The following is a 27,823-nucleotide window of genomic DNA, read 5'->3' on the forward strand; positions in this document are numbered from 1 at the left end:
TCCAGAAAGGGAACCGTGGACATAAATGTCATGGGAAGGTATTTAGTAGAAGGTGTGATTTTTGGGGGCGCATATGAAACATTCTAAAATTCAAGGCCAGGGCGCTGTGACAGGCTCTAATCTATGAATCATTATATTCTTAACATATTCTGAGAACAGGAAGAGAAAGCTCAACCTTTATAGACACAGATGGAATTTCTCCTGTGAAGACTGGTAATTCATGTGACATTTGCTGTTTGCTTTTGTTTGCAGTCAAATTCTTTCTCTCAACCTTGCACTGTGCTGTTACTGGTCACTTAACAGACCTTCTGAAAGAGCAATATAAGTTTATATTTTAGGTACACAAACAAAGCAGATGTTTATAATACTGGGCATGATTTTTTTTTTTTTTGGTCAATATTTGGTTCACATGAGAAGATCAACTTTTTCTAGCCTGTATACTTTGGCTCTGAATTTACGTGTTTTGAAAGGTTTGTTGTTGTTGATAATTTAGTGATGAAACTTACTCGTGGAAAAGGCTTATTGTGAGTGAATAAATAAATAGTATAGGCTAAAGTGTGTGTAGCCTACATTATTTGGTAGTGTAGTGTACACTCCACATACTTTTATCATTTTAATTTTCTACTAAATTATGCATGTCCTGGTATTAGGATTCCCATAGTCATGGCAAAACCAATGATGGTAACGCCATACTTATCTGGAGGTTAAAGTTTCATTAACAATTTAAGGTGGAAATCAGAGAAGAAGGCCTCTGAGCCAGCCTAATAGCTATTCTAACCCCACACAGCAAGGTAGTATATTGTATTGCTGCTCTTCTCACCAAGAGCTTCTGGGCCTTTAGCACATTATTTTTAACATGTTTAAATTTCTGGGTTTTGTGGACACATCACATTAGCAGATGTGGGAATGATAGAGGTTATTTTGACATACAGAGAGGAGACAAGAAAACGGAAGTGTAACCACAAAGCTGGGTTGCCACATCCTATGGAGGTGTAAATTCATAAGGATAACATTGAGTCACCCAGAAAAGTTGTATTGTGTCTTCCTTTTAAGAAACAATGTGGGCCGGGCGCGGTGGCTCACGCCTGTAATCCCAGCACTTTGGGAGGCCGAGGCGGGCGGATCACGAGGTCAGGAGATCGAGACCATCCCGGCTAAAACGGTGAAACCCCGTCTCTACTAAAAATACAAAAAATTAGCAGGGCGTAGTGGCGGGCGCCTGTAGTCCCAGCTACTTGGGAGGCTGAGGCAGGAGAATGGCGTGAACCCGGGAGGCGGAGCTTGCAGTGAGCCGAGATTGCGCCACTGCACTCCAGCCTGGGCGACAGAGCGAGACTCCGTCTCAAAAAAAAAAAAAAAAAAAAAAAAAAAAATGTGGTGGAACTAAAAGCCCAGTAAAAGTGTAACATGAAAGGAAAGGCTATGTTATATTCATCCAATAGGGTGTGTGTTTGTGTATGTGAATATGAAGAAATTTATCATAAAGAATTGGTTCATATGATTACAGAGGCTGACAAGTCCCAAAATCTTCAGGGTGAGTCAGCAAGCTGGAGACCCAAGTGAGCTAATGCTTTAGTTACAGTCTGAGTTTGAAGCCTGAGACAGGAGAACTGATTGTGTAATTCCAATCCTAAAGCTAGCAGACTGGAGACCAAGGAAGAGTTGACGTTTTACTTCAAATGCAAAGGCAGGAAACATTCTTCCTCAATTGCCACACAGTCTGACTGATTTTGCTGGCTCTCACTTTCCAGAAAGGGAACCATGGCCATAAATGTCATGGGAAGGTATTTAGTGGAAAATGCAATTTTTGGGGTCCATATAAAACATTCTGAAATTCAAGGCTTGATATCCCAGTTTGAGGGCAGCAGGGCAGGAGGAATTCTCTCTTCCTTGGGGAGGGTCAGCCTTTTTGTTCTATTTGGGCTTTCAGCTGCTTGAATAGGGTCCACTCACATTGGGAAAGGCAATGTGCTTTGCTCAGTTTACAAGTTTAAATGATAATCTCTTCCAAAAATGCCCTCACAGAAACATCCAGAATAAAGTTTGACCAAATATATGAGCACCCTGTGGCCCAGTCAAGTTGATACATAACAATCACAGCCATCCTTCCAGTTAGTCACAGAAAGATACCTTCCTGCATCTAGACAACAGGCAGCTGCTGAGGAGGGCTGGGAACAGCAGTTCATGATCTGGTATCAGATCATGAACCCAGGGGTCCAGCACAAAGACGTAGATCCAGCCCTGATAGGAGAATGCCTGGTTTTTAGAAATAGGGGGATTAGCTTCCAAACTATAGAAAGAATTCATTCATCCATTCATTCATTCATTTTAAAATTCAGGTCTTAATTCAAATATCACTTCCCCAGGGAGGCCTTTCTGATACATTGTCTACAGAAGTCCTTTCAGCCGCTCTCATTTATTCATTCACGAAAATGTATCAGGCCTACCCTGTGAAAGGCACTGGGAATCCAATAGTGACTGTGAATAACAAGCAAGGTCCCTTCCCTCACGCATCTTACTTACTAGTGGGGACAGACAGAAACTAAGTAAGCAAATAAAGAAGGTAATTTCAGATAGTGATAAATGCCATAAAAGATAAAATAGGGTAATGCATTAGAGTGTTGATTTGAGGACAGGGGGAAGTTACACTAGATACACCCGTTAGGGAAGACTTCTCCAGAAGAGCAGTCAGCTTGGATTGAAGGATGAAAAGTAAAAGCTCCATTCAGAGCTCTTGGGGAAGAGCCTCTTAGGCAAAAAACAGCTGGTGCAACAGATCAACGGACAGAACCATTTGGCCAGTTCTGGGACTGAAAGAAAGCCAGTGTGACTGGAATACACTGAGCAAGGGAGAGAAAGGTCAGAGAGGTGAGCAGAGAGGTTGGCAGGGCAAGATCTTCATGGAAGGTCATATAGGCCCTGATTCAGAGCTTGCATTTTATCCTGATTGGAAATAAGTTTTAAGCAGAGGAGTGATATGATCTAATCTGTGCTTTGGGAAGATCACTGCCCAGCGGGACACAGATTGTGTGGAGCAGGAATGTTGTAAGAAGTACAGACATGTAGGAGGCTATTCCAATAGTCCAGGTGAGAAATTACGATAGCTGGGCTAGGGTGGTAGCTGTGGAGACAGTGGGCAGTGGGCAAGCTTGGCTGTTCTGTGAAAAAGTCTTCAGGAATTGCTGATGGTTTGGATATAAGGGGTGAGAAAAATAAAGGACTCAAGAGTGACTGCTAGGTTTTATTTTCTTAATGGCACATATTTTTATTTGAAATTATCTTGTTTATTTGTGTACTTCTTTACTGTTGATCTCCCTCATCAGGCTGTAGGTACAGTGAGAGAAGGAATCTTGCTTATCGTGTTCACTGCCTCAGCCTCAGTATCCAGAAGAGCACCTGTTCCTTGAATGTATGTGTATATAAATATTGATTGAGTACTTAGTATGGACCAGGCCTGTACTAAGGCTGAGATACAGAGGAGAACAAGACAGAGATGACCCATACGATCATGGAGGCTGCATTCTGGCAGAGGAGATAGACAATAAACACATGAACTGAGTTGTTTCAGGTTTTCATAAATGCTGTGTTGACAAAAGGATGAAGAGAGTGGTTAAGGAAAAACCTCTTCTCTAGTGGTTCTGTTATTCTACATGTATTCACTAGACTCTAACATCTGTGAAAGCAAGGACTAGGTCTTATATTCTTCGTGTAGTGCTAAGAAGATAGTATGTGCCCAGGAAATAAAAGTGGGCTTGTCAAGCCTGGAAGCCATGCTCAGTTCCTGGAGCATCCTCAGTACCTGTTTTGTTATCTATGTGATGTGACCTGCTAGGGAAATTGTCCGAGTCTCTCCTTTCTTGTGTAGGTTGACAATGCCTAGACCCATCAGTCTCTGCCTGGACAGGCCTGTAATTTAACTGCCTGCCTGGCTCTGATTGCTAATAGGCATGGGTAGCCACCTATGGATTTGCACAGCCACACACGGCCTTGCTGCAAATTTAGCAGCAGATAGTGCCTCAAGGTCACTAGAGAAGAAATGAATCTGTAAGGTGAATAAACTAAGGCCAATAAGCATAGAGTGCCAGAAAGTAGTGCCCAGAGGGATCCGAGGGGCATCTGCATGTTTATTAATAAACAAACACACAAAAACCCCCGCCTCCTCCTCTACTTAAGGAACACAGTGAGATCTCCTCTTATGAAGTCATTTCTCCCATGACTTCTGCTTTGAACAGAAGATTTTCAAAAGAGCTTTGTTTGCCCTTAAGCAGTCTTATCCTCAGATAAGGATAAACGATCAGAGGAAAATTTCACTGGGTTGTTGGTCAGCTATCAAAATGAAAAATGAAAAATCTTTCTTAACTGGAGTAAGTGTGGAATGCTTGAATAGTGCAGCAGCTTTTAGTCATTCTTTTACAACTGCTGTACACATTGCAGCCAGAAAAGACATTTTAGTTGTCAGGTAGTCAATAAATATTTATTACCTGCTTCCTGTATACTGGTTCTCCACTGGGAACTGTTCCTAAAGGTTTGTTTTCTTGTTACTTTTCTTGTCCCTGTGTTCCTCATAACTCAAAACTGCTGACCCATTTAGGAGGTATGGGAAAGCAAGATTGATCAGAAAGCAGACTGGGAAGAGACAAGTCATGATAATTCTTATGCTGTCAAAAACTGAGTTTAGCATCATGCTAAGCAGGCAGTATTCAATTCATAATTCAAAACTGAGTGTCGCAGTGAATGGGGCCCTGCAAAGTCAATGTCTGATTGTTTTCTTGCTGATAAGCACCATGATCAGAGGTCTCTTCACTTTGGCTTAAATCATAAACATGTTTGGAGCACCTACCATGTATGGCCACTCTCCTAAGAGTGAGGTAGGATATTGAGGTACTCCCAGTGTAGTGTCTGGCTTCTGGGGACTCAGTGTTAAATGAGTGTGGAGAAGATGTGTATATGAAGACTGTGTCTTAAGGGAGAATGTACTAAGGGAAATATGAAGTCTGGTAGGTACACAGGAGAAGGAGATATTAATACTTCCTGGGGGGAATCCAGGCCTTACTAGAGATCCTTCTGCACACTGTCCCCCAGCTCCTCACTTTGAGTGTTTCTTTTGGATTATTCATTTTCTCTATCTTGTGGCAGGCCTCATCAAGACTGGTATGTGCATCTGTGTTTGCTTTTATCAGATAATCTTCTACCTACTTTGAGTTTACCTTCTATTTCTAATTCCTTGCTTAACTTCTGGGTTCCTTGCACAGCAGCGTCTGATATCCTGCATGTTAGTTCTTTGTTTTCCCTACCCAACTGAAAATTACTAATGCAAAATTATATTAGCAAAATGGGCATAACCAGAATCACCACTGCTGGGGTAGTTAATGAGCAGAGGTCTCCCATTTGCTTCCTGCCCACCAGTCTCTCTCCTGCCCTTTCAAGGCAGACGGGTTGCTGGCTCACTAATTTCCCACATATTGCAATCTTTTCCTGTGATGCAGAAAGCTATGTGTATTTCCCCACTCCTGAGGTGACTGAACTGTTTAAGTAGTTTTGATAATTCGTTGCTTTAAAAAATACACAAAGATTTGAATAATATAGATAAATGTTTTCCTTGACTACCCACACCACCCTATTGAGGTCAGTATTCTTAGATATAACGAACAATGTGAGTTTGATCTATATTCTTCCAGACTTTGTTCCCATGCACTGACATATGTATATGTGTGTGTGTATGTGTGTTTGTGTAGTTTTGTGCTTTTTTCTAACAACTCAGCTGCCAAATGATCAGTGCATATAGCACTACTTCATTGTTTTTATTCTCTTGAGTGTCATTCATGTATTTCTAACTCTTTGTATGCCTAATATTTTTTTGTTTGAATGCCAGGCATTGTTTTAAAAAGCTATTGATGCTCCATAGGTTTACCTTTCCTCTACTAGGCAGATCAGGTTGAAAGACTGATTGCCTTAATCCAACAACTGACTAAGTTGCATCAGAACAGGTTGCAATTTTGTTAAATTACTTTTTGTTCTCCCTATTTCAGAAGCATGGCCCTCCAGGGCTTTTGATTGTAATTCTTTGTCTCCTCAGCACTAAGAGACTGCAGAATATCTTGTCTGCTTTTGAGAGATTTGGGCTTAGCTCTTTAGTCTTCTGTACTGTGCAGCTTCTGAACATGACAAATAACTTGACAGGGAGACCAACTCTGTGTTCAAGTCTCCTCAAATCTTCAATTTAACCACTGAAGCCGTACATGGTTTCCAGAGGATCTGCTGGTTTCTTTGTCCCAGCAGCTTCCCTCTGCCTGAACCTACCCTAGATTCCATTCTCTAGAATGAGCCAGCTTAGGGTGGCAAGTGTCCCTGAAGTTGGCTGCATGTCCTCAGATCACCTCTGAAATCTTTCCTTTCTATAATTTTACTGTTGTTAGAACTTTTGGCTTCATTAACTTTCTAATGTCCTTAAATATGTGATTTTTATAATTTATTTAACTTTTCTAGTTGTTTTTAGTGGGCATGTTGGCCTGCCATGAACAACTTCATTATACTTAGAAGTAGAACTTCTCCCTCATTGCTTTTAACTCCTTCAGATTCTTTCATTGCATGATGTCTGTGGCTTATTTGGCCATTTCCCTGTTGATAGACATGCTGATTTTTATTTGTCACTGTTACAGTCTTATAATTTAAAATGAAGTACATACATTTTGTGTACTTATTTATAGCAATTACTAATATCTGGAATTTCTGGATTTAAAATATGGATTTTTAATTTTAATAGAGATTACCAAATTGTTCTCCAAAAAGACTTAAATTTAAATCTCAGGGGCTGAGGCTTCCCTTTAAATAAACCAGGTCTATCTCTGATCTTATAGGTTGGCCCTAGTACCAAACAGTTCTACTAGTAACATTGAGAGTTCTATGAACTCTTTTAGAGACTCTGAGCACACTGAAAGCTTACCTGCTGTGTTGTCCTTGCCACTCTTACCTCAGTGCTCTCCTGTGGGTACATTTAGTACCTTTACAACGTGTGCAGTGATCATGCCATGGATTACAAGAGTTTAACACATTTTCTAAGACACCAAGTGAGTAATGTAGATACTGAGGAGATATTCAGTAGAAAAAGCCAAATCACTAATAATAGCATATTTTCAATATACAGGCAATTTCTCAGTTGAAAAGCTTAGCTATTATTGCTATGGCCATGGCTTCAAAGCTGTGAGGTTCGCTTTTTATTTATATTGGCAATTTTCCCATGTGCTTATAAAAATCAGTCCTTTGGATGGTTCACTCAGTGTATTTGAATACCTTTTCCAATTCTCTGAAGCTCCTTGATCCAGTAACAGTTTCTTTCCTTGGCAGACCATGAGGAGTGGGAAAGTAGCTTTTTCTAAGTAGGCATTGATTGGCATTGAGCAGTGGGAAAGATTGGAGCTGGTGAACATGGGGTGTGCAAATGTATTCAGCCAACAGGAGCTCTTCCAGTTCATAGGGTGGATCTGCTGGAATAGTTGCCTTGGTTCTCCTTTCACTTCAGGGTGGAATTAAGCTCCTGGCTCAATAGGGAGGAAGCAGGATAAGTCTTAGCCTCTGGACACTTAACCTAAAATTCTAAAGAAAAATTCCTTATTCCTTTTTTCCTTTTCAATGGCTTACCTTTAAACAGCATTAATATCCTGCCTGTTGTACTGAAGCAAGAAACTGTAGTATCTATTTTCAAAACTAGTACATGGATTTTCAATGTGAGTGTCTTGGTAATAAATGCTGGTTTATTTTGAATTTAAAAATGTATTTTGATTTTGTACTGACAGTTTAACTCTTTGAAATATAACGGAGGAAGGGTCAGAAATAAAGCAATCTTTCTTTCTTCTGGACTTATTTATTCACTCTTCTTTAAACAGTTGTTAAATCTCTCTTATGCATTTGACATTGGGCTTTGCACTAGTGATAGAAAAATGAATAAGACTGTGACATCTTTTGGTACTACATCATATAAATTGTCTAGATTGTACTTCTAAGCCAGCATGAGCATTTTAGAATATAAGAAATAGAAACCAAACCAAGAAACTCTAGTTCGGAGCAAAATTATATGCCCAGTTGTCTAAGAAAGGGCTTTGCTTTTTACCAGTAATTTAGAATTTTATGACTAAGACAAAGCAGAAAATTGGGAAGAACAGTGAAAAGGGCAAGAAGTTAATGGAGTGCGGTCAGAGCTGAGAGGACAAAATCTAAATGAAAGGGGGAAAAGCAATAAGGATTGAGGAAGGTTGTTTAGGTCATTAAGCTTACAAGATCTTCTATTTCCCAATTAGTACATTCTGACCCTGAAGACGTTTAAGTACATGACGAGGATGTCACTGGAGTGTGACAAATTCTTCACATTCTCACTTCCCTTTGCTAATTCTGGCGTCAGAAGTTATTGCAGAGAACATAGTCAACCGTCTGTGGAGATACATCTAAAACAGATGTGCCTATTGTTAAACAAACATGGTATGTTTAAATCCATATTTATTTATTAAACAAAAATTAGATAATTACTCCGATTATCTGGTACCCACAGGGATCATACAAATGACAAACACAAAGGGCCAGCACTCTGAGAATGAGAAGCCTAGAGAGAGGCCAGGCTGGGATAGTGCCAACCCTGACATAAGATAGAATATAATTAGGACTTTAAAGGAAATACAAACAAATATTGTGGGCACTCAGGAAGAAAAGCACTTTTGGTGGTTGTGGATACAGGTAGAGGGAGAAAGCACAAACAACTCAGAGAAACTTTCTTGAAGGAGATAGTATGCTAACTGGCCATGGAAAATTGTTTGAATATCAACAAGTGATGGGATCTCAACAGGGATAAAGGATACAGGTGTCATAGGTAAGGTAGTGGCATAAGCAAAGCCATGAAGGAGGACAGCTTGTTTGATGACTAGCAGTGTGTGTTATAGGAGATGGGGTGGAGGATGCAGAGAAACAATGTATTTTGAGACCACACAACTATGCCTTTAAATCCCAGCCCTTCCGCTTATGCATACGGGACCATGCCTAGGTTGCTTAACCTTTCTAAATCTCAGATTACTCATCTTTAATATGGGGACAATAATATTGATTTTTGCATTTGTGTGTGTGTGTGTGTGTGTGTGTGTGTGTGTGTGTCTGGGAGAGAGAGAAAGGAGAGAGAGAGGAGAGAAAGACTGGTTATAATCTATGTAAACCTTCTGGTGCTCAATAAATGGTAGTAATTATTATGGCAAGTAGTTAGGCTATCTCAATTTTGGACAATGTGTTAGATAAAATAAAAAAAATAATTTGTGATCAAATTTTGGGTGATCTTAAGGAGCTAGTTTAGGAATATGGAGTTACTTTGATAGGCATTGGAAAGCCATTGAAGACTTTTGACCAGGGAATGATGTGATTAGGGCTTAGAATTGCAGTGCTGATTCTAGATATATTGTAGAGCTACGACATAAAGGATTAGACAATTAGATATGAACCATGGTGTCAGACACCTACATATCTGTTCTTTACTCTCTTGCAGTTATAAAAACCCTGATTTTTAGCTGGAAACATGACTGTCTAAAATGAAGACCCTATTTACCTGTTTTGCTTGTGGCTAAGTGTGCCTATGTGACGATGTTCTGGCCAGAAGTATCATGCAGTAGCATACCTAAAAGATGGCTGGCCCACCTTCTTCTTTATCACTTCCTCCATCCTGCTTCTTAGATTACCTGCCATCTTGGTCTAGGTCCAGCTGCTAATTTGGACCCTAGCAATATTGGAGGGATGAACTGGCAGGAGACTGAGTCCCAAAGAACTTCATGGAACAGAATTCTGCCATACCATCCCTTGACTAAATTTCACTAGCCTTCTACATGAGAAAAGAATGAACTACCTTGTTGAAGCCTCTGAGATTTTGAGATTCTGTTACATGCAGTTGATCTTACAATCTGATTCTAACCAATTCAGATATGGAGGAAATAAATGAATAAGAACTTAGTTTCTAGGATTTCAAGCCAGTAGCCATTATAGGAATATAAGGAAACATGTTTGGAGCAGGGGGAGGATGATGGTTTTGGTTTGGGATTCAATCCAGGTGGAGATGTCAGGTAATTGGAAACAAATGTCAGGAGCTTGGAAGAGAGGCCAGAGTTGGAGGTTTAGACTTGGGGTGGGAAGCAGGACTTTAAATAGCTCTGATAGTTGAATGTATGATAGGGGAAGACATTTTCAAGGGATAAAAGTATAAAAAGAGTGCAAAAACCTGAAGGCTGACCCTGGACTAAGTGTCTGCTTATACAGGTGAGGAGGCAATAGAGATAGTGAAATTGGGCAGGAAGAGGTGTGGTGAAGGTGAGGGTAAAGGGAAGAAGAGTTGAGGCTGAATTAATGAGCTTATTTCTTTTGCATATGGCATGTAGGAGAGGAAAAGGATTCCTAGGTTTCTCATAGTCAAGAATGTACTGATTATATGCATTTGCTTCATTAATGAATACAGTGCTATTTTGTTTAGTGTTTCAGGAAATGCTTTGATTCCAGCATTGTTTTCCGCTTTTAATGCTTGGAAACAGCTTTGCTAGGCTCTTCTCAGGTGAGTAGCTGCACGCCAAAGTGTCTCAGTGACAGCATTGCTAAGGAGTTTTATGGAGAATGGATGGTCTTGACTGGAAAGTCACTTAATGGCTTTTAAAGTTGTGAGCAGATGATCATACTGTATAAGTGACAGACTGTGAAGTCTGAGACCTCATGAATGGTTTTGATGTTGGCATCAGATAAAATTACTAACAAATTAGATCTGACATATTTTAATGGTATGTATAATTATTATTGGTCTTTGTGATTATAGGCTACATAGTAACTGCTATCACTGGTAATAGCCAGTATTACTTTTGTCTGGACACACACCAGACATTTACGGAAATAGCTGGAAGAAGAATGATATTGAGAATTGAGGGAGAGGGTGGTTTGTGCCAAAAGGAAGGTTTGGAAGAGGTGGACACTATTCCTCTCTCACTTCCTAACTGGCTTATTCTGGAGTTGGAGGCCTGCAGTGCCTCACCCTGTCAAGCTGACCTAGGCACCTAGTATGTTTAGCTGTTCCAGTCCCCACTCTCCAGATTTGGCCACATTCTCCCAGTTGGAAATGATGGAAGATATTGCCATCTGGAGTTCTCTGATTTCCTGTAAGTTCTTGGAGACTTTATGCATGGCCCCACCCAAAGCTTTTCCTTCACCCCAACAGGAGAGAAGGAGGCTGCAGACCACAGAAACTTCAGAGATGATGATTTATGTGGACTCATCAGAAGTCTAAAGGGGCATGTCTGTGTTCTTAAAGGGTACGGGAACCTCAGAGAGCCAATTGGCCCAAGAAGCAGTATGTAGAATGGCTACATATTCTATATTTTCAAAGATCAAACAGTGCAGAGTGCAAGATTATAGGAAACCCAAAAGGGTCACAAACCAGGATAAGAAAATATCCCATTCACTGCCATATTTTCCAAACCTAAAAGAGTGCCTCAATCAATGTTTGTTGAGTTTTAAATAAATATCTTTATTTCAGTAATATTTAAAAATGTATCCTAAATCTACTTGTTGTCTGTATTTTCAAACATAGGGAAATAAGCACCAATAGCTAATTGGAGGAATAGGATGGGGGATGGGGCACAGCATGAGGAGAGGAGTGAGAGTATGTCTCTCCCAGAAAACATTTATTGTAGGTATTGATTCAAATTCCAGTTCCTTTCATTCCTAGCTGTGTGATACTGGACAAGTTACTTAAATTTGAGCCAGAGTGTCTCCACTGTTAAACTAAGTAACAATATCTACTTTATAAGATTATTGTGTAAAGTAGGTAAAATTTATGAGAACATGCTTAATAAATTCTAAGTGACAAAATGTTAGGTGTTATTACTGACATTTATAACAATAATAATAATAATAAAATAATAAAGATTGGAACATGGCCAGGGAGTGGTGAGGGGTCATAGCATTGGTGTGAAAGTTGGATTTGAATGTCAGTTTCTCTGGCTCATATGGTAACTCTGCCTATCCAGGATTTAACTTAGAATCAACAGCTCCCCAAACAACAGCAGAGCTCTATCCAGTTTGAACACTTGAACTAGTTCTTTTACTCAGTGAGAACCTGTGAGTCTGTCTGGAGTAGAGAGGCGGGTGTTGAGATTAAACCACCACAGTGGGCTGTCTCTGTCTTAGGGAAGAATAACAGAGAAGGAGTTTCTGCACACCAGTCTGACTTAGAGCTGAGCAGCACATAGACGTGTACCCAGGTATCTCATGCCTTATGCCCAGCGGGACCCTTCCTGGTGTGTATGGTCGATATGCTACCCTGTGGAGGGTGGCTATTTATTGAATTCCTATTCCACTCAACTTCAGTTTATCTGACTTTGGAGGGGTTGCAACACGGCCTTGCCTCTTATGCTGAGCTTTCTTTGGAATTGCTATGTGACTGTTTCTTTGACAGACTTAGTTAGAAATTCAGATGATACTGATTTAAAATAGACCCGTGGGGTTTGAGAACAGTTAGAGAGAGCACAGATGAGAAGGAGAGGTTAAATTTTTTCTAAACTCAAGTTGTCAGTACTAAATTCATTATCCCCCATTAACAGGCATAATAATGAAAATAATAATGTATAACTTTTTCACTCCATTCACTCATTTATTCATGAAATATTTATTAAGTGCCTATGTACTAGAGTGTATACTAAATGCTAGACATATATAGATAAATAGATAAACCATGCCTGTCTTAGGGAGTAAGGTGGAAAGCCTGAGGGTGGCATGTAGGTTAGTCTGGCATATAATCTCAACAAGCTTTTGGAAAGATGAAATGGTTGTACTTAGAGGCAGAAATTGCATTGGTTTTGGTCACAGATGTAGCCTACCTCCATTGCCTGCCACAGAACCTGGCTCAGCTAAGTACCCAATAGATGTTTTTTGAATTGGCTTAATATTTCTAATTGCATGATTAAGTGGCCAGAATCAGTTAATTTAACCCATGAGTCCTTTTCACTCCTTTTACAGAGCTAGAAACTTTTTGTGGCCAGTCAACCTGGTAACCAAACATTTAAATTCTGGTAATTGGTAAATATGCCTCGTCACAGGTTTGTTGAATGATTTATTTTTCATAAAAGCAGGAGGTTCATGACAAGCTCAGCAAATCTGTTGGCAGTTTTAAGACATTATACCGGGTAGTTTAGGGAAATTTCTCAGCACATGAGACCCTTTAGATTATGTAATATTCTTGCAAGGCAACTAGGAAAAATAGTTTTTAAAATTATGTCTATTTTGCTATATTTAAAAGCAGAAATTATCTTATTACGGAGAATTGATTAAATATTTGATAGCATTTTTGTATGATTTAACATATTTATAGGTGTTAATTTCTCACAAAATTTAAGTTATAGCTCTAAGTGTAGAATTAATAGTTTCCCTTTGATTACAGTTTTTTTGGTGTTAACGTTCATCTATTTTTGGATGATTTGACTTACCCTTCCTTTTTAAAATTCAGACTCTAAATTTAAGGCTATACATCACCATAGTGTTTATGAAGTGAATTAAATCTTACAGAATGTTCCAGTGCAATCTGAAACTACAGCAACTACTTGAGGTTTTATGTCTGAAAAGTGTTTTAATCAGTGATGGATTTGGAATTATTGCAGCTGATTCCTGAATTCTTAGGCCTAGGCCTTAGGAACACACTATCCAGATGTTTATAAAATGCCATTTTACCAATGTCCTGTTTATACTTTGACTTTGTGGTTCAAAAAAAATACATTTGCCTACTTCAAAGTACCAGATGAAAGTATTTTACATCAACTAAATACTGCATTTGAGCTGCCCAACAGTCCCTAACACTGACTCCTTCTGCCTTAAAGGCATTTATTTCCTATCATCACCTGTTTTCTCCAAGACATGTGAGAAGAATAAAGCCTGTATTGTGGCATTTTGTGTGAATGCTAAGATCTTGGCAATGTTTCTTATACCTTCCCTAGCTCTTCTATTTTCCCTAAAAAGTATTCTCTTTTTGAAAGAAAAATTTAATTTCTCAATTTCTTAAACCAGATTATTAATTAAAACTGCAAAATGAAGGAAGGAACACCCACTAATTCTTCAAAGCTCAGCAACAGAATCAAATCCTTTGAAGATCTGTCTGCTTAACTCATCACTATTAATCAGTTTAAGACTATTTAGAAAAGGTACTGAGAGAAAGAAATGAATAAAAATGGGTGAATAAGGCAATATTAAGCTGACACTTTATAGTCCGGTTGGTAGAGTAAAAAAGCAATCAAACTTAACAGCTTTTTAAAAAATTAAGAATGTTATATAGGTTGATGTTATTTTTATTATTATAAATATAATATTTACTCCTTTTGCCAACTTGGAAAATGTAGAAAAGTCAAGAAAAACATAACATTCATCCATGATCCCACCACCCAGACAAAACCACTTTTACCTTTCCCCTATTTTTTAAGTCATTTTTTGCTATGTAATTAATCAATTTGCATAAATACAAAATTGAGGTAACGGTATATGCACAATTTTGAAACATGTTTTAATCACTTTCTTGTGGCATTAAATATTCTTCAAAATATGTTTTTAGTGGCTGCAGAGTTATGTTATGACTTTCTCATCCTTTAGTTGGTCTTTAGTGTGTTTTTATGGTGTCCAGTTTCAGTATTCATGTTGATCTCCTTTCACCCTTTGTCTTCACTGAGTCACTCTTGGCTCACTATGGTAATCATTAGCACTGGTTTCTAGATATTTCTGGCTCTTCACCTGCACATAAAACAGGGCTGTACATCTCAGTCCCTTGGAGTTTGGGTGAGGACATGTGACTTTTTCTAACCAATGAGATGTGAGTAGAGCATTTAATTACTGATGAGAGAGACCTTTCAGAGTGCTGTCCTCTTTGCCACAGTGACTGGCAGCTTTCCAGAGAGTGGCTGCTCCATTAGCGTGGATCCCAGAGTGAGGTTGAGGCCAACATAAACACCTAATTGGCCTGGGATGGATAGGTAATGTGAGAAGAAAATGAAACTTTGTTTTAGTGAGTGAAATCTTAGGGGCTGTTTGTTATCAGTGAATAAGTTTGCCTGTCTTAACTGATAACACCAATCATTTGTATCTAGATTGGGAATCTGATTTAGACCTTGTGGTCATCTTATAGACTCATGTTCACCTTCACATCTGTAAATTATGTGGCAGGTCATCATATACACTTTCTCAAACAATTGGGGAATCTTTGCCCCTATGCATCTGTTTTCAGGGTGTTTCTTTAGTTGACTTCAGGCGTATTCAATAACTCATATCATATACATACATAAACACTCATACCTTCATTCTCACAATGTTTATGATTAGCCTTGTTCATACTTTTCTGTTGCCTAGGAAAATGTCAATAGAAATTTTAAAGTAAAGACTGATTTTTTTTAAAGTATAAACTTAGTAGTTATATGAAAATGAGAAAATTCATAAGGAAAAAATCCTGTCATTTCCCCTGCCATTCAAACCTATTTTTATTATCCCATATTTCCTCTATTCCCTGTGTATAAAACTTTATATTGCTTATCATAGTTTACATACAACTTGACATTTTCTATATATATAAAAATTTTCATGTTTTTCCTACACTTCATAATTAACATTTTAATGGCTGCAAAATATTCCACTGAAATTGAACACCGTAATTTATACTACAATTTCCTTATTACTGGTTTTTTAGTTTGCTGCAATTTTTTTGAAATTCTGTTGGAATAAATAATTTTTAGAGCATTTTAAAACAAATATACTAGAATGTATACATCTAATCAGTATTATCATATAAATAACTTCTAAGTCTAAACACATATTCTAATGCAGGTGCCATTGATATAAACATTTCTAATCTCTTTTAAAATGGTCTTTATGGCCAATTGATGAGCTACAAATTAAAAATTAGTCTCATTATTTTATAATATATCTTGATTTGGACCCCAAATCATTCATTCATTTTGTTAATCATATTTTGGCTGTTTTCAAAAGTTAATTCTAATTTTAAAGCACCAAATTTTGCCTTCATTTAGACCATTTGGAAGGCTGCCAAATGCTCTAAAGGCAATTTCAGAGGAAAAGTTCCAAAACTGTTAACAGCACTGGGCAATTGCTGCGATAACTGAGCAGCCTACCATAGTGATGGTTTTAGAGAAAAAAACACTCCTTTTTAAATGTGAGTTTGAGTGGATTTGTTACTGTAATCATTAAATCCACAACTCTATAGTCACACTGGGCATGGATGTAATATTGTTCAAAATAAATGCCAGTTGCTTGATAGCAGGGACTGATTCTTTCATGACATCTACATTAGTGCCTTGCACATGGTAACTACTTAGGTATATTTGTGATCGAGTCTGTGAAAGTGATCCCTGTTGAGATCACACTTTTTCCATTGGCAAGGACCTATCTTTGAATAAATCCTTTCTGCTGGTGAAGTCTTGAAGTCTCCAGCACTCTAGACTTACAGCATTAGCATTATGTGGGAATTTGTTAGAAATGAAAGTTCTCTGGCCTCACCCTGGACCTACTAAATCAGAAATTCTAGAGATTGGGCCAGCAATCTGTTTTAGCAAGACTTCCATGTTATTCTGACACATAATAACTAAATGGTAAAGTTAGCCTGAAGAAAAACTGAAAATAAAGGTCAAAGAGGTGATTCTATAATGAAAGAAAGTTGGTGTTAGAAGCCACAGACTAGCAAAATTCAATAAACATCTTCAGAGCACCTACTGTGGTCCAGAAATTGAGCTTGTAGATACTAGGTATGCAAAAGCAAAATAGATAGTGTCTATACAGAAGACATAAATGTGCGTAAATGGGTATAAAATAAATACAATGCTGAGTGATACTTCGATATAGAAGAATATACAAAATATGGGTGGTGATGATCATAACTACCATTTATAAACCACATGTTGTCTGTCAGGCACAGTACAGTGCTTTATATATATATTTTTTTGGTATGATTATCAGAAGGAATATAAAGATTAAAAGGTGCTGCATTACTTAAATAGGTTCCCTTAAACCTGGAAAGAATAAAATCCTGGTCACAAAGTTCATTTCTTGCCCAGAGCACTTGACCCATTCAGGGATCCTGTGTTTGTCATTTCTCTTCAGAAATGATTATATTGGCACCTATCTCAGAATTGATATACAGATTAAATACGGTCATGGATGAAATTATTTAGCCCACTATGTATCATCAATATTCATTAGATAGTAATCATTTTTATTGCTACTAATAGTAATCATCATCATCATTAGAGGGGTGAGCGGCAATATAAGATAGATTCTATAGAGGTTAAAAGCATGACTCCAGCCAGATTCAGATTGCCAGGGTTCAGTTCTGTCTTTGTCAGCTTCTAGCTGTGAGACTATGGGCTTAGCCTCTCTGTTTCAATTTTGTCATCTGTACAATGGGGACAGTAAGAGTCCTTCACAGGGTTGTAATAACTGGTAAATGAATTAATGTGTGAAAAGCACACAGCACACTGGCAGGCACAGGGCAAATGCTCAGTAAGTGCTAGCTTGGAGTGTTCTGTCAAAAAGCCTAACATCTCTTTGTGGTATTTTGTGATTTTTGACAGAATGGTGTATGCTTTAGGCATCTATGGAACAAAAATATCACCCTTCCTTAAATCTGTGGCGTTGAGGGATCACTACATATTTGAATAAAGGCCTTTCTCTGATGTCTAACAGGAAGAAGAAAACCACTGATACCAAACTAAGGTTTAAAAAAGGCCAAGGGGAAGAAAATTTTAAATCAAAAGTCATCCATTCTTATTTCATGGAAATACGTTATTTAAGCAAATATACTGATAATGATGCACAGATGCTGTTTGTATACATTACTTTCCTCCTTTGAATTCACTAAGTACTGATTTCTTATTGGTGCCAGCGATCTTCAGAATTAGTTCTGTCCCCTTCTGTATCATTGTGTGAGACAAATATCTCATATACAACTTTTCTAAAGATTAGAAGACTAAAATATGTGTCTATTGCCTCAAAGGCAGAGAAGAGGTACACAAATGTGAATAAACAGTTAAAACATTAACAGATGTATTGGAAGAGTCCTTGAATACACATGTGATTGATATCAAGAAAACATTAGCTTTGTAATTCTGCCTAGATCGAACACTGATGGGCTGGCACTACAGAAAGATTCAGCTGCAAGTATTTCATGTAACTGATGGTGTAACGCAAAAACATTTCAGTAGATATCTTTCTAATAATTTGCCACAGGTGCTCAAATGCCTGGGAGCTAGAATTTCAAGGATTCAAATTGCTACTGTGATAGCTTCAGGCTTTGCTTCCAGGTTTTTTTTTTTTTTTTTTTTTTTTTAAGCAGGCTGTGGCACATGTTTTTAAGAATTTAAGTCTGTTTATTGGTGATGCTGCAGTTTGCTTGATTACAGTTTAAGAGGGTGACTGTAGTTTCTCAAAGAACCCAATGAATATGAACTCAGTTTACATCATTGAAAACTCATGTTCAATCTCTATCCTGTGTGTACTGTGTTCAGTTATTTTCTTTGAACTTAACATTATTTCATCTACATTTCTATGTACTGCTTTCGACCCATTTACGTGTCATAGATGTCTTCTCTTTTGCCACTTCCTCTCCTGAAGTTTCTGTCCTGGGTTTCTTCTAGAGTTCAACGTATATATAGAGATGCAGAGAACATCTTAGTACAAATTATTTTTTCTTTTTTTACGATATTGGCGATGAGTTTGTTCTCCAAAGCAAAATAACCAAAACAAAATCAGAATTTTTATAGGTTTGCTGCATTTTGGGAGATCACACTCTAGAAAGATCAAACTAATTTAAGTGCCACCAGCATTGGTTATACAGATTGATCATCCCTTATCCAAAATACTTGGGATCAGAAATGTTTTGGATTTTGAATTTTTTCAGATTTTGGAATACTTACATGTACATAATGAGATATCACAGGGATGGGACCCAAGTCTTAAACATACAGTTCACTTGTGTTTGAGATACACCTTATATACATAACCTAAAGGTAATTTTATGAAATATTTCTGATAATTCTGTGCATGAAACAAAATTTTAACTGCATTTTTGACTGCCACTGGCCACAGAAGTCATGTGGAATTTTCCATTTGTGGCATCGTGTTGGTGCTCAAAAAGTTTCAGAGCATTTGGGATTTTGGATTTTTGGATTAGGGATGCTTAAACTGTATGTGTAATTTTCCCATAGCTTATACGGTACCAGATTTTTATTATAATTTAGGTGTGTAATAACTTCTTACAGTAATTTTAATTTAGATTTACTTAGTTGGTAGGAAGTTATATATCTGTGAGAGAAAATTCTTAATATTTATAATTTGAAAATATATAATGCACTGATTTATCATTTTGGTCATGGCAAACATTGGGATATATTTGTCTGCAAATAAAAGAAAACTCGACTAATGGTGGTTGTATTAGTCAGGACTATCCAGAGAAACAAAACCAATAGGATGTGCAAGTAAGCAGAAATTTTAACATACGGTAGAATTAAATTGGAAAGGAAACAAGGAAACTCATATATTTTGTGATGTTTACTATGGGTTACAGAATGTACAGTAAACACAAAAGCTAATATTTATTCAATACTTTCTAGCTCACAAAACATTAAGTGTAAAATTTTAGCTATTTTAACTTTTCTTTTATCTTTATTTCACAGGCACTTACCTCCTGTATCTTTGAATCTTCTTTATATTTTTATGTTTAAGAGAAAAAAGCCAAAAGTCCTTCCTGTATGGTGTGGATGTTAAATACCAAACAGTTTTATTCCCCTTAACATTTTGACCATCTTCCTTCTTCCTTGCACTCTTGTGGAGTTGGCTGCTTTCCTTTACTTTGGAAGAAGCTACGTTTTTCTGACCCTGTAATGGTGTTCTTCTGAGATTTGCGGATGAACATAAGATATTAAACATATCGGTTGAGTTTTGTTCATGTGGAGTCTGTCATCAATATGGAATAGAATTCAATAATTTGACTTTTTCTTGCCTCTCTTCTGCCATTTCAAATGAATCATAAAAATTAGGAAGGAAATTTAGTCCCATCTCCTCTCTCTTGAGCAGATTTCTTTTCCTTCTCTTTTTTTTTTAAACCTGTGGGAGTTGGGAATATTTTAGTGCTCCCCCTTTGTGAATTATGGTGTAAATGAAACTTTTTGCTTTTGTGTTATTAATGACAGTTTAAAAGTCTGAGATGGATTTTCTCTTATTGTTGTTAATGACAGTATAAAAGTCTTAGGTAAATTTACTCTTAAGGTGCTAAATTAAAAAAAATTAATAAAGTCAATTGAAAATTTTCCAAGAGTTATTTTAAAGTTGATTTTTAAATCAAATAAGCTTTTCTATTAAGCAAAATAAGTGCTCTTTTAATTAGAAGCTTTAAAAAAAACTCTATGGAAACAAAAGACTATACCTTCAAAAGCTCACAATCTTTACAATTCCCACTTCCAGACCTTTTTTTAGGAAACATTCCAAGGCTTTAAACTATTTGTGAATAATTTTTATCTTAGTCAATGTGTTATATGCCCCTGCACAGACTTATATATTCTTCATTGAGATATATAATTGTCCTCTTGTTGGATATTTAACCTATAAGCTGACACTCACTTTCAAGGATTGATTTGAGCTTTGCAAATTTTGAAATGCTCAGAAACATAAAGTGCTTGGTATCTTTTATAAGAAGCTAGTCAGAACTGCCTGACATGAAGGGAGTTTGATTGATGTGTGATAATCAGGTGGGAAATTTCAAACTTATTTATTTAAGCACTGCATTTATTTTATGTAGATCAAAGGAAAATATTCAGCTGGCTTCAAATGATGTCACTTTTCATAAGATACACAAGAAATTTGATGAAATTTGAAAAACTGATTAAGACTTATATTTGTTCATGTTCATTTTATATTTTGGGTGTACTATCTTGCAAGCACAAACACCAGCAGGCTTTGCTTTTACACATCTCATAAGCCAAGTCCATGGAAGTATAAATTTTTAATGAGATAGATACTAGGATTCTCTCCTTAAAGGAAAATTGGAAACTTAGGATTCTTATTTTGACTTTTATAATAGAAGTTCTATTTGGGATATAATTCAGACACAATAAAATACACTCCTTTAACTTGCACAACTCTATGGATTTAGTATATTCACAGAGTTGTGCAACCACCACAACTAATTTTAGGACATTTCATCATCCCAAAAAGAAACCTCATACCTATTAATATTCCACTCTCCCCTGCCAGTCCTGGGCAACCTAAAATTTACTTTCTATCTAAAACCTAAAATTTCCTTTATTGAATTTACATTCTATCTAGATCTGCCTGTTCTGGACATTTCATACAAATGGAATCTTGCAATATATGGTCTTTTTTGACTAGCTTCTTTCACTTAGAATAATGTTTTCAAGGTTCATCCATGTTGTAGCATGTACCAAATGTCATTTTGTATTGCTGAGTAATTTCATCATATGGCTATACTGCATTTTGTTTACACATTTATCATTTGATAGGTATTAAGGTTGTTTCTACCTTTTGACTATTAAAAATAATGCTGCTATGAATATTTGTGTGTAATATTTCTTCATGTGGGCATATATTTTCATTTCGTTATAATATATACCAAGGGGTAGAATTGCTGGGCCATGTGATAAGTACATGTTTAACTTTTTGAAGAACTGTCAAATTGTTTTCCAGAGTAACTATGCCATTTCACATGCAATGTACAAGGATTCAAATTTCTCCACATCCTCCCCAATGCTTGTTTTTATCTCTTTTTGGTAATAGCCATCCTATTAGATGGAAAGTGACATCTCATTGAGGTTTTGATTTGCATTTCCTTTATAGCTAATCATGTTCAGCATCTTTTCATGTAATTATAGTCCATTTATGTATCTTCTTTGGAGAAATGTCTATTCAAATTATTTTCCCGTTTTCATAATTGGATTTTAAAATTATTGAATTGTTAAATATCTTTATATATTTTAGATACAAGTGCCTTATCAGATATATGCTTTGTAAAAGTTTTCTCCCATTCTATGGGTTGCCTTTTTACTTTTTGATGGTGTCCTCTAAAGCACAAAAGTTTAACATTTTGATGGTTCCATTTATCTATTTTTTATTTTGTTGCTTGTGATTTTGGTGTTGTCTCTAAGAAACAATTTCCTTTCCCAAAGTCATGAAGTTTTGTAGTTTTAGCTATTACATGTAAGGCTATGATTCATTTTGAAATTGTTTTGTCTATGGCATGATTTAAGAATGTAACTTTATTCTTTTGCATGTGGATATCTGGTTTGCCTAGAACCATTTGTTGAAAAAACTGTTCTATTCTTGTTGAACTGTCTGGGTATCTTTGTTGAAAATGAATTGGCCATTCCTAGAAGGGTTTATTTCTGGACTCTCAATTCTACTCTATTGGTTTATGTATCTATCCTTATACCAGTACCATGCTATCTTGGTTACTATAGTTTTATGGTAAGTTTTTAAATATGGAAGTATGAGTTCTCCAACTTTGTTCTTTTTTTAAAATTCTAACTTGTTTTGTTTATTTTGAATGATTTCCATATGAATTTTATAATCAGCTTGTCAATTTCTTTTTTTAAAAAAAGCAGCTGGAATTTTGATATGGATTGCGTTAAATCCATAAATCAACTTGAGGGGCATTGCCATGTTAACAATATTAAGTATTCTACTTTATAGACATGAACATCTTTCCATTTATTTAGATCTTTAATTTATTTTAACAATATGTTATAGTTTTCAGTGTACAGGTTTCACATGTTGGTTAAATTTATTTGTTCTATTTTATTGTTTTTATTATGAATTACATGGATTGCTTAGTTAATTTAATTTTCAGATTACTCTTTGCTATTGTTTTGCTTTTGCATCGTTCATTGCTGCTGCACAATTGATTTTTGTATGCTGATCTTTTATCTGCTAACCTTGATGAACTTCTTAATTAGTTCTAATCGTTTTGTGTGTGTATGTGTGTTCCTTAGGATTTTCTATATGTAAGATCATGTCACTCTTTCTAGAAATTTGGCTTTGATATTAAAAATACATTAATATAAAACTAAAGAATTAGTTAGAATAAGATTTTGTTAAAAATATTAACTTACTCAAAAAAAAAGATCATGTCATCTGTGAAAAGAGATACTTTTACTTCTTCTTTTCCAATATGGAATTTAAAAAATTTTTTTATTATTTGATTCCTCTGGTTAGAATCTCCAGTAAAATGTTTAATAGGAGTGGGGAGACAAACATCCTTGGCTTATTTCTGATCTCAGGGGAAAAGCATTCATTCTTTTCCCATTACATATGATGTTAGCTGTGGGATATTTGTAGATGCTTTTTATCAGATTGAGGAAGTTCTCTTTCATTAGTTTGATTAGTGATTTTATCATAAAAAAGTGCTAGATTTTGTGAAATACTTTTTCAGCATCTGCTGGGATAATCATGTGGTATTGTCCTTTATTATATTAAAATAGTATATTACATCAATTGATTTTTGGATGTTAAATCAACTTTGTGTTCCTGGGATAAATCCCATTTGTTTGTGGTATATAATCCTTTTTATATGTTGCCGGTTCTCTTTGCTGGTATTTTGTTAAGGATGTTTTGCATTTATATTTATAAGGGATTTTTGGTCTGTAGTTTTCTTTTCTTGTGTTGTGATGCCTTTGTCTGGTTTTGATGACAGTAATGGTGGCCTTGTAGAATGAGTTGAGAAGGGTTCCCTCCTCTTCTATTTTTTGTAAGAATTTATAGAGGATTGTTATTAATCTTTAAATCTTATTTAGATTAGTTATGGCTTCCTTGGTAGTTTACCCTTTGCTTTTATAAATTGCAGAAGGGGCTTGTAAATGGGGACAGGACGGTGGTGTTTGTGCTGATTGGTCCCTTTACAATAATTTTACTACAGTGAAAGTAGAGGATTTTAAATAAAACTGAGTCTTCATTTTGCCTCCTTCTATAAAACAATGATAGATGCTCCACCATTGGAAGACATGCTTAGTTGCAGAAACAAATTCAAAGGTTTTTATATCTTAAATTAAAATTAGAAGATGCCTTTCAGTGCCGTCTCCTCAGCTGAGCCATGGGTGCATGCCCGGCTCACTGTCCCCACTTTAAGAAGTCTTACCAGTAACCTATAAGTACAAATCTGTCTAGAAACACTACTTAAAAGAGCCTGTTAAGAAGTGTTATACTGACCTTCTCTTGGGTAAGAGCCTAAGAACAAGGAGAGTTTGTTGAATCCCAGACATCACGTAAGGTAATATGAATAATAAATATTTAGATTGTCTTCCTACATGTTGCAAGGTAATTTTTGGTCATTAATCACTCCACTAGCTCAGTGGGAAAAATTAACACCAAAGAAGTAATAACAACTAATTTTTACTAAGTAATTACTATGTGCCAAACACTGTCTTAAATCCTTTATGTATACTATCTCTTTTATTTTTCATAGCAATATTATGAGGTCAATGCTAACATTATTCTCCACTTTACAAATGCGGAAATTTAGAAACAAAGAGGTAATCTTAGTTGCAAAGAATGCTGGAGCTGGGATCCGACCTAGGTTAAGTGACCCCAGAACCTGAACCAGAATTTGGAATAGATTATATGCATCCCAGGGATTTAGACTCAGGGTCTCTGTATTCCAAGTTCTGGGTTTGGAAGATAAGTCTTTGTACTCCTTTTGATGAATAATAAAATTTGCAGTCCACCTTTTCTTTTCTTTTTTTTTTTCTGAGACGGAGTCTCGCTCTGTCGCCCAGGCTGGAGTGCAGTGGCATGATCTCGGCTCACTGCAAGCTCCACCTCCTGGGTTCAAGTGATTCTCCTTCCTCGCTATACCTGTAATCTCTGGGGATTACAGGCATGTGCCACCACACCTGGCTAATTTTTCTGTATTTTTAGTAGAGATGGGGTTTCCCCATGTTGGCCAGGATGGTCTTGATATCTTGACCTCATGATCCACCTGCCTCAGCCTCCCAATGTGCTGGGACTACAGGCATGAGCCACCATGCCCGGCTTGCAGTCTACTTTTTAGAAATGTTCATAGAGGGTATACTCAGATGGTACTAATCACTTGAGATTAGACAGTCTCTGCAGGGATAATTGAATAAGCAAGTTAATAAAATAAATATTTAAAATGCATTGAGTGATTAATGTGTTTGAGGGTAAGTGATTTAGTTGTATAATTAATTATTTCTGCAAAATAACTCTATGAAATGGTATTATTATCACTTCCATTTGTAGAAGACACCCCTGAAACAAAGATGTGGGTAACTTGCCCTGGGCCAGTTAGCAATAAGCCCAGATTTGAACCCAAGCAGTCTTGTTCCAGACCTTCTGTTTTTAACAATTCTACATTGCAGTTTCTCTAAGTAAATAGTCACCTGAAATATGGCTACAACAATACAGTCACACCAAGAATGTAGTTAGAGATAAGAATGCATCATTGTGTTTGTGCATGTGGAGACTGGAGCTGCTTCTATAGGAGATAAGCACCAAGCTATCATCTGTTGGAGAGAAATGTGTTGTGGGTGAAAGGAGGAGGAGGGCTGTTCTGTAAATATGAGACAAGCTGAAACAAATATAGAAATATGAAAAGAAAATCTGATTTTCAAAAGTGAAGTTTTTAGCCTATGCTTTAACAGAAGATAGGAATAGACTGTGGCACGCACTTGGAAGCTGTGACAGTTTGGTCCTGAGAGCACTGTGGTGTGGGAGGGTTAGGAGCCACACCTCAGGGGTGAAAAGGAACAGTTTGAAAGGGCAATTTTAGAAAATGACTTTGATAAGCTCCATTAGTAGATACAGAGGTTGAATCAACAGATTAATATAGGCTTCAATTATAAGTGTTTCTATGAATATAAGAAGCATCTAGAAATTAACAGGAAAATATCTGACCAGTTGGGATGGTATTTCTCCTTTAGTGCCAAAAGTATAATAGTTTTTTTTTCTCTTGTGGCAGTAAAATTAAAGGCCTGGATTTATTCAGCAACTTTTCTTTATGAGAATAGGAATATATTCCCAGACATTGTTCTACACTTTTCCTGCGTGGTGTTCTACCACCAATGTGGAGTTATAGATTTAGACCTCTGTGTTTGGGTGGGAAGAGAGTAGGCCCACTGGCAGGCAGTAACCACAGAACTACATGTATCTGGGCCAGTTTTATTCCAGACATGTGGATCTTCTGGTCTGCAGCCTTGACAAACTTCAGAGTTCCCTTGTCTCCTTGTACAGATGTGTGTACCTTTTGATCATGAAGGCACTATTAATGTCCTTCAGAGTTTGTGTCAATTTGCAACTTTGAAGGATATCCAAATTATCAAATAATTTACATATGATGATTATTAAATTGAAGTTTCTAATTTATTCTTAACAAAAAATAAAAATTACATTCACATCAAAAGCAAGTAAATCAATACTTCCCACATTTCCTGTTTCCCAGATGCAAACAAAGATAAGTGGAAGTTAAATATCAATATACAGGTGCTTTCAAAAAAGTCTTTTGGTCTATTTCCACTTTCAAGGTAACCTGGTGGCTTCTTCTCTCAAGTCCTCACACAGGTATTCAGGAATACCAGGATGGCGTGCCCAAGATTCCAACAGCCTGTATTACGGTGGAAGATGCAGAAATGATGTCAAGAATGGCTTCTCATGGGATCAAAATTGTCATTCAGCTAAAGATGGGGGCAAAGACCTACCCAGATACTGATTCCTTCAACACTGTAGCAGAGATCACTGGGAGCAAATATCCAGAACAGGTGAGTGAAGGAGAAGGCTGGCCTAAGAATACAGTTTCCTGGTCTAGTTTGAGTTATTAGAGATAGTTTGGGAAAGAGAGAACGTGAAACCACCTAGATGGTCCTCATAGATTCGTTGAAGGCAGAAGCTTTATATATATTTTTTCTCATCAAAATTTTACCATGTTTACCATCTCACACCAGTCAGAATGGGTATTACTAAAAAGTCAAAGAATAATAGATGTTGGTGAGGTTGTGGAGAAAAAGGAACACTTATATGTTGTTGGAGGGACTGTAAATTACTTCAACCCCTGTGAAAAGCAGTTTGGAGATTTCTCAAATAACTGAAAACAGAATTAGCGTTTGACCCAGCCATCTCACTACTGTGTATTGTAACCAAAGGAAAGTAAATTGTTCTACTAAAATGATACCTGCACTCACATGTTTATTGCAGCACTATTCACAATAGCAAAGACATGGAATCAACCTAGGTGCCCATCAATGGTGGGCTGGCTAAAAAACAAATATATGGTCATATATATATATATATATATATATATATATATATATATATATATATATATATATATATACCATGGAATACTACCCAGCCATAGAAAAGAATGAAATCATGTCCTTTGCAGCAAGATGGGCACAACTGAAGGCCATTATCCTAAGTGAATTAATACAGAAAGAAAAACAAAAAGCATGTTCTCACTTACAAGTGGGAGCTAATCATTGGGTACATGTGTACATAAATACTGGAAGAATAGGCAATGGGGGCTCCAAAATCGGGGAGGGAGAGAGGGAAGCAAGGTTTAAAAAAACTACCTGTTGGGTACTACATTACTCTTTGGGTGACGGGTTCAACTGAAGCCAAAACTTTAGCCTCACACAATATGTCCATATACCCCCTGAATCTAAAGTTTAAAAAATAAAAAAATAAAAATTTTAGCACATTGACTGAAGAAGGGCAGGAGTAATTGAAGGACAGAATGGTATTCGTGATGTGGAAATTCAACCTC

At 36.7% G+C, this 27,823-nt stretch overlaps 1 protein-coding gene across 1 annotated transcript in view; it reads left to right on the forward strand.

Moving 5' to 3' along the window:
- The window catches only part of CPQ (carboxypeptidase Q), a 498,260-nt gene that overhangs the window by 207,945 nt on the left and 262,492 nt on the right, over nucleotides 1-27,823 (forward strand). The window contains exon 4 of the mRNA NM_016134.4: nucleotides 26,612-26,819. Within this exon, the coding sequence (NP_057218.1) occupies nucleotides 26,612-26,819 (208 nt within the window). The remainder of the gene's footprint in view (nucleotides 1-26,611; nucleotides 26,820-27,823) is intronic.

This window comes from Homo sapiens, chromosome 8 (genome assembly GCF_000001405.40).
Source record: "Homo sapiens chromosome 8, GRCh38.p14 Primary Assembly".
NCBI lineage: Eukaryota > Metazoa > Chordata > Mammalia > Primates > Hominidae > Homo > Homo sapiens.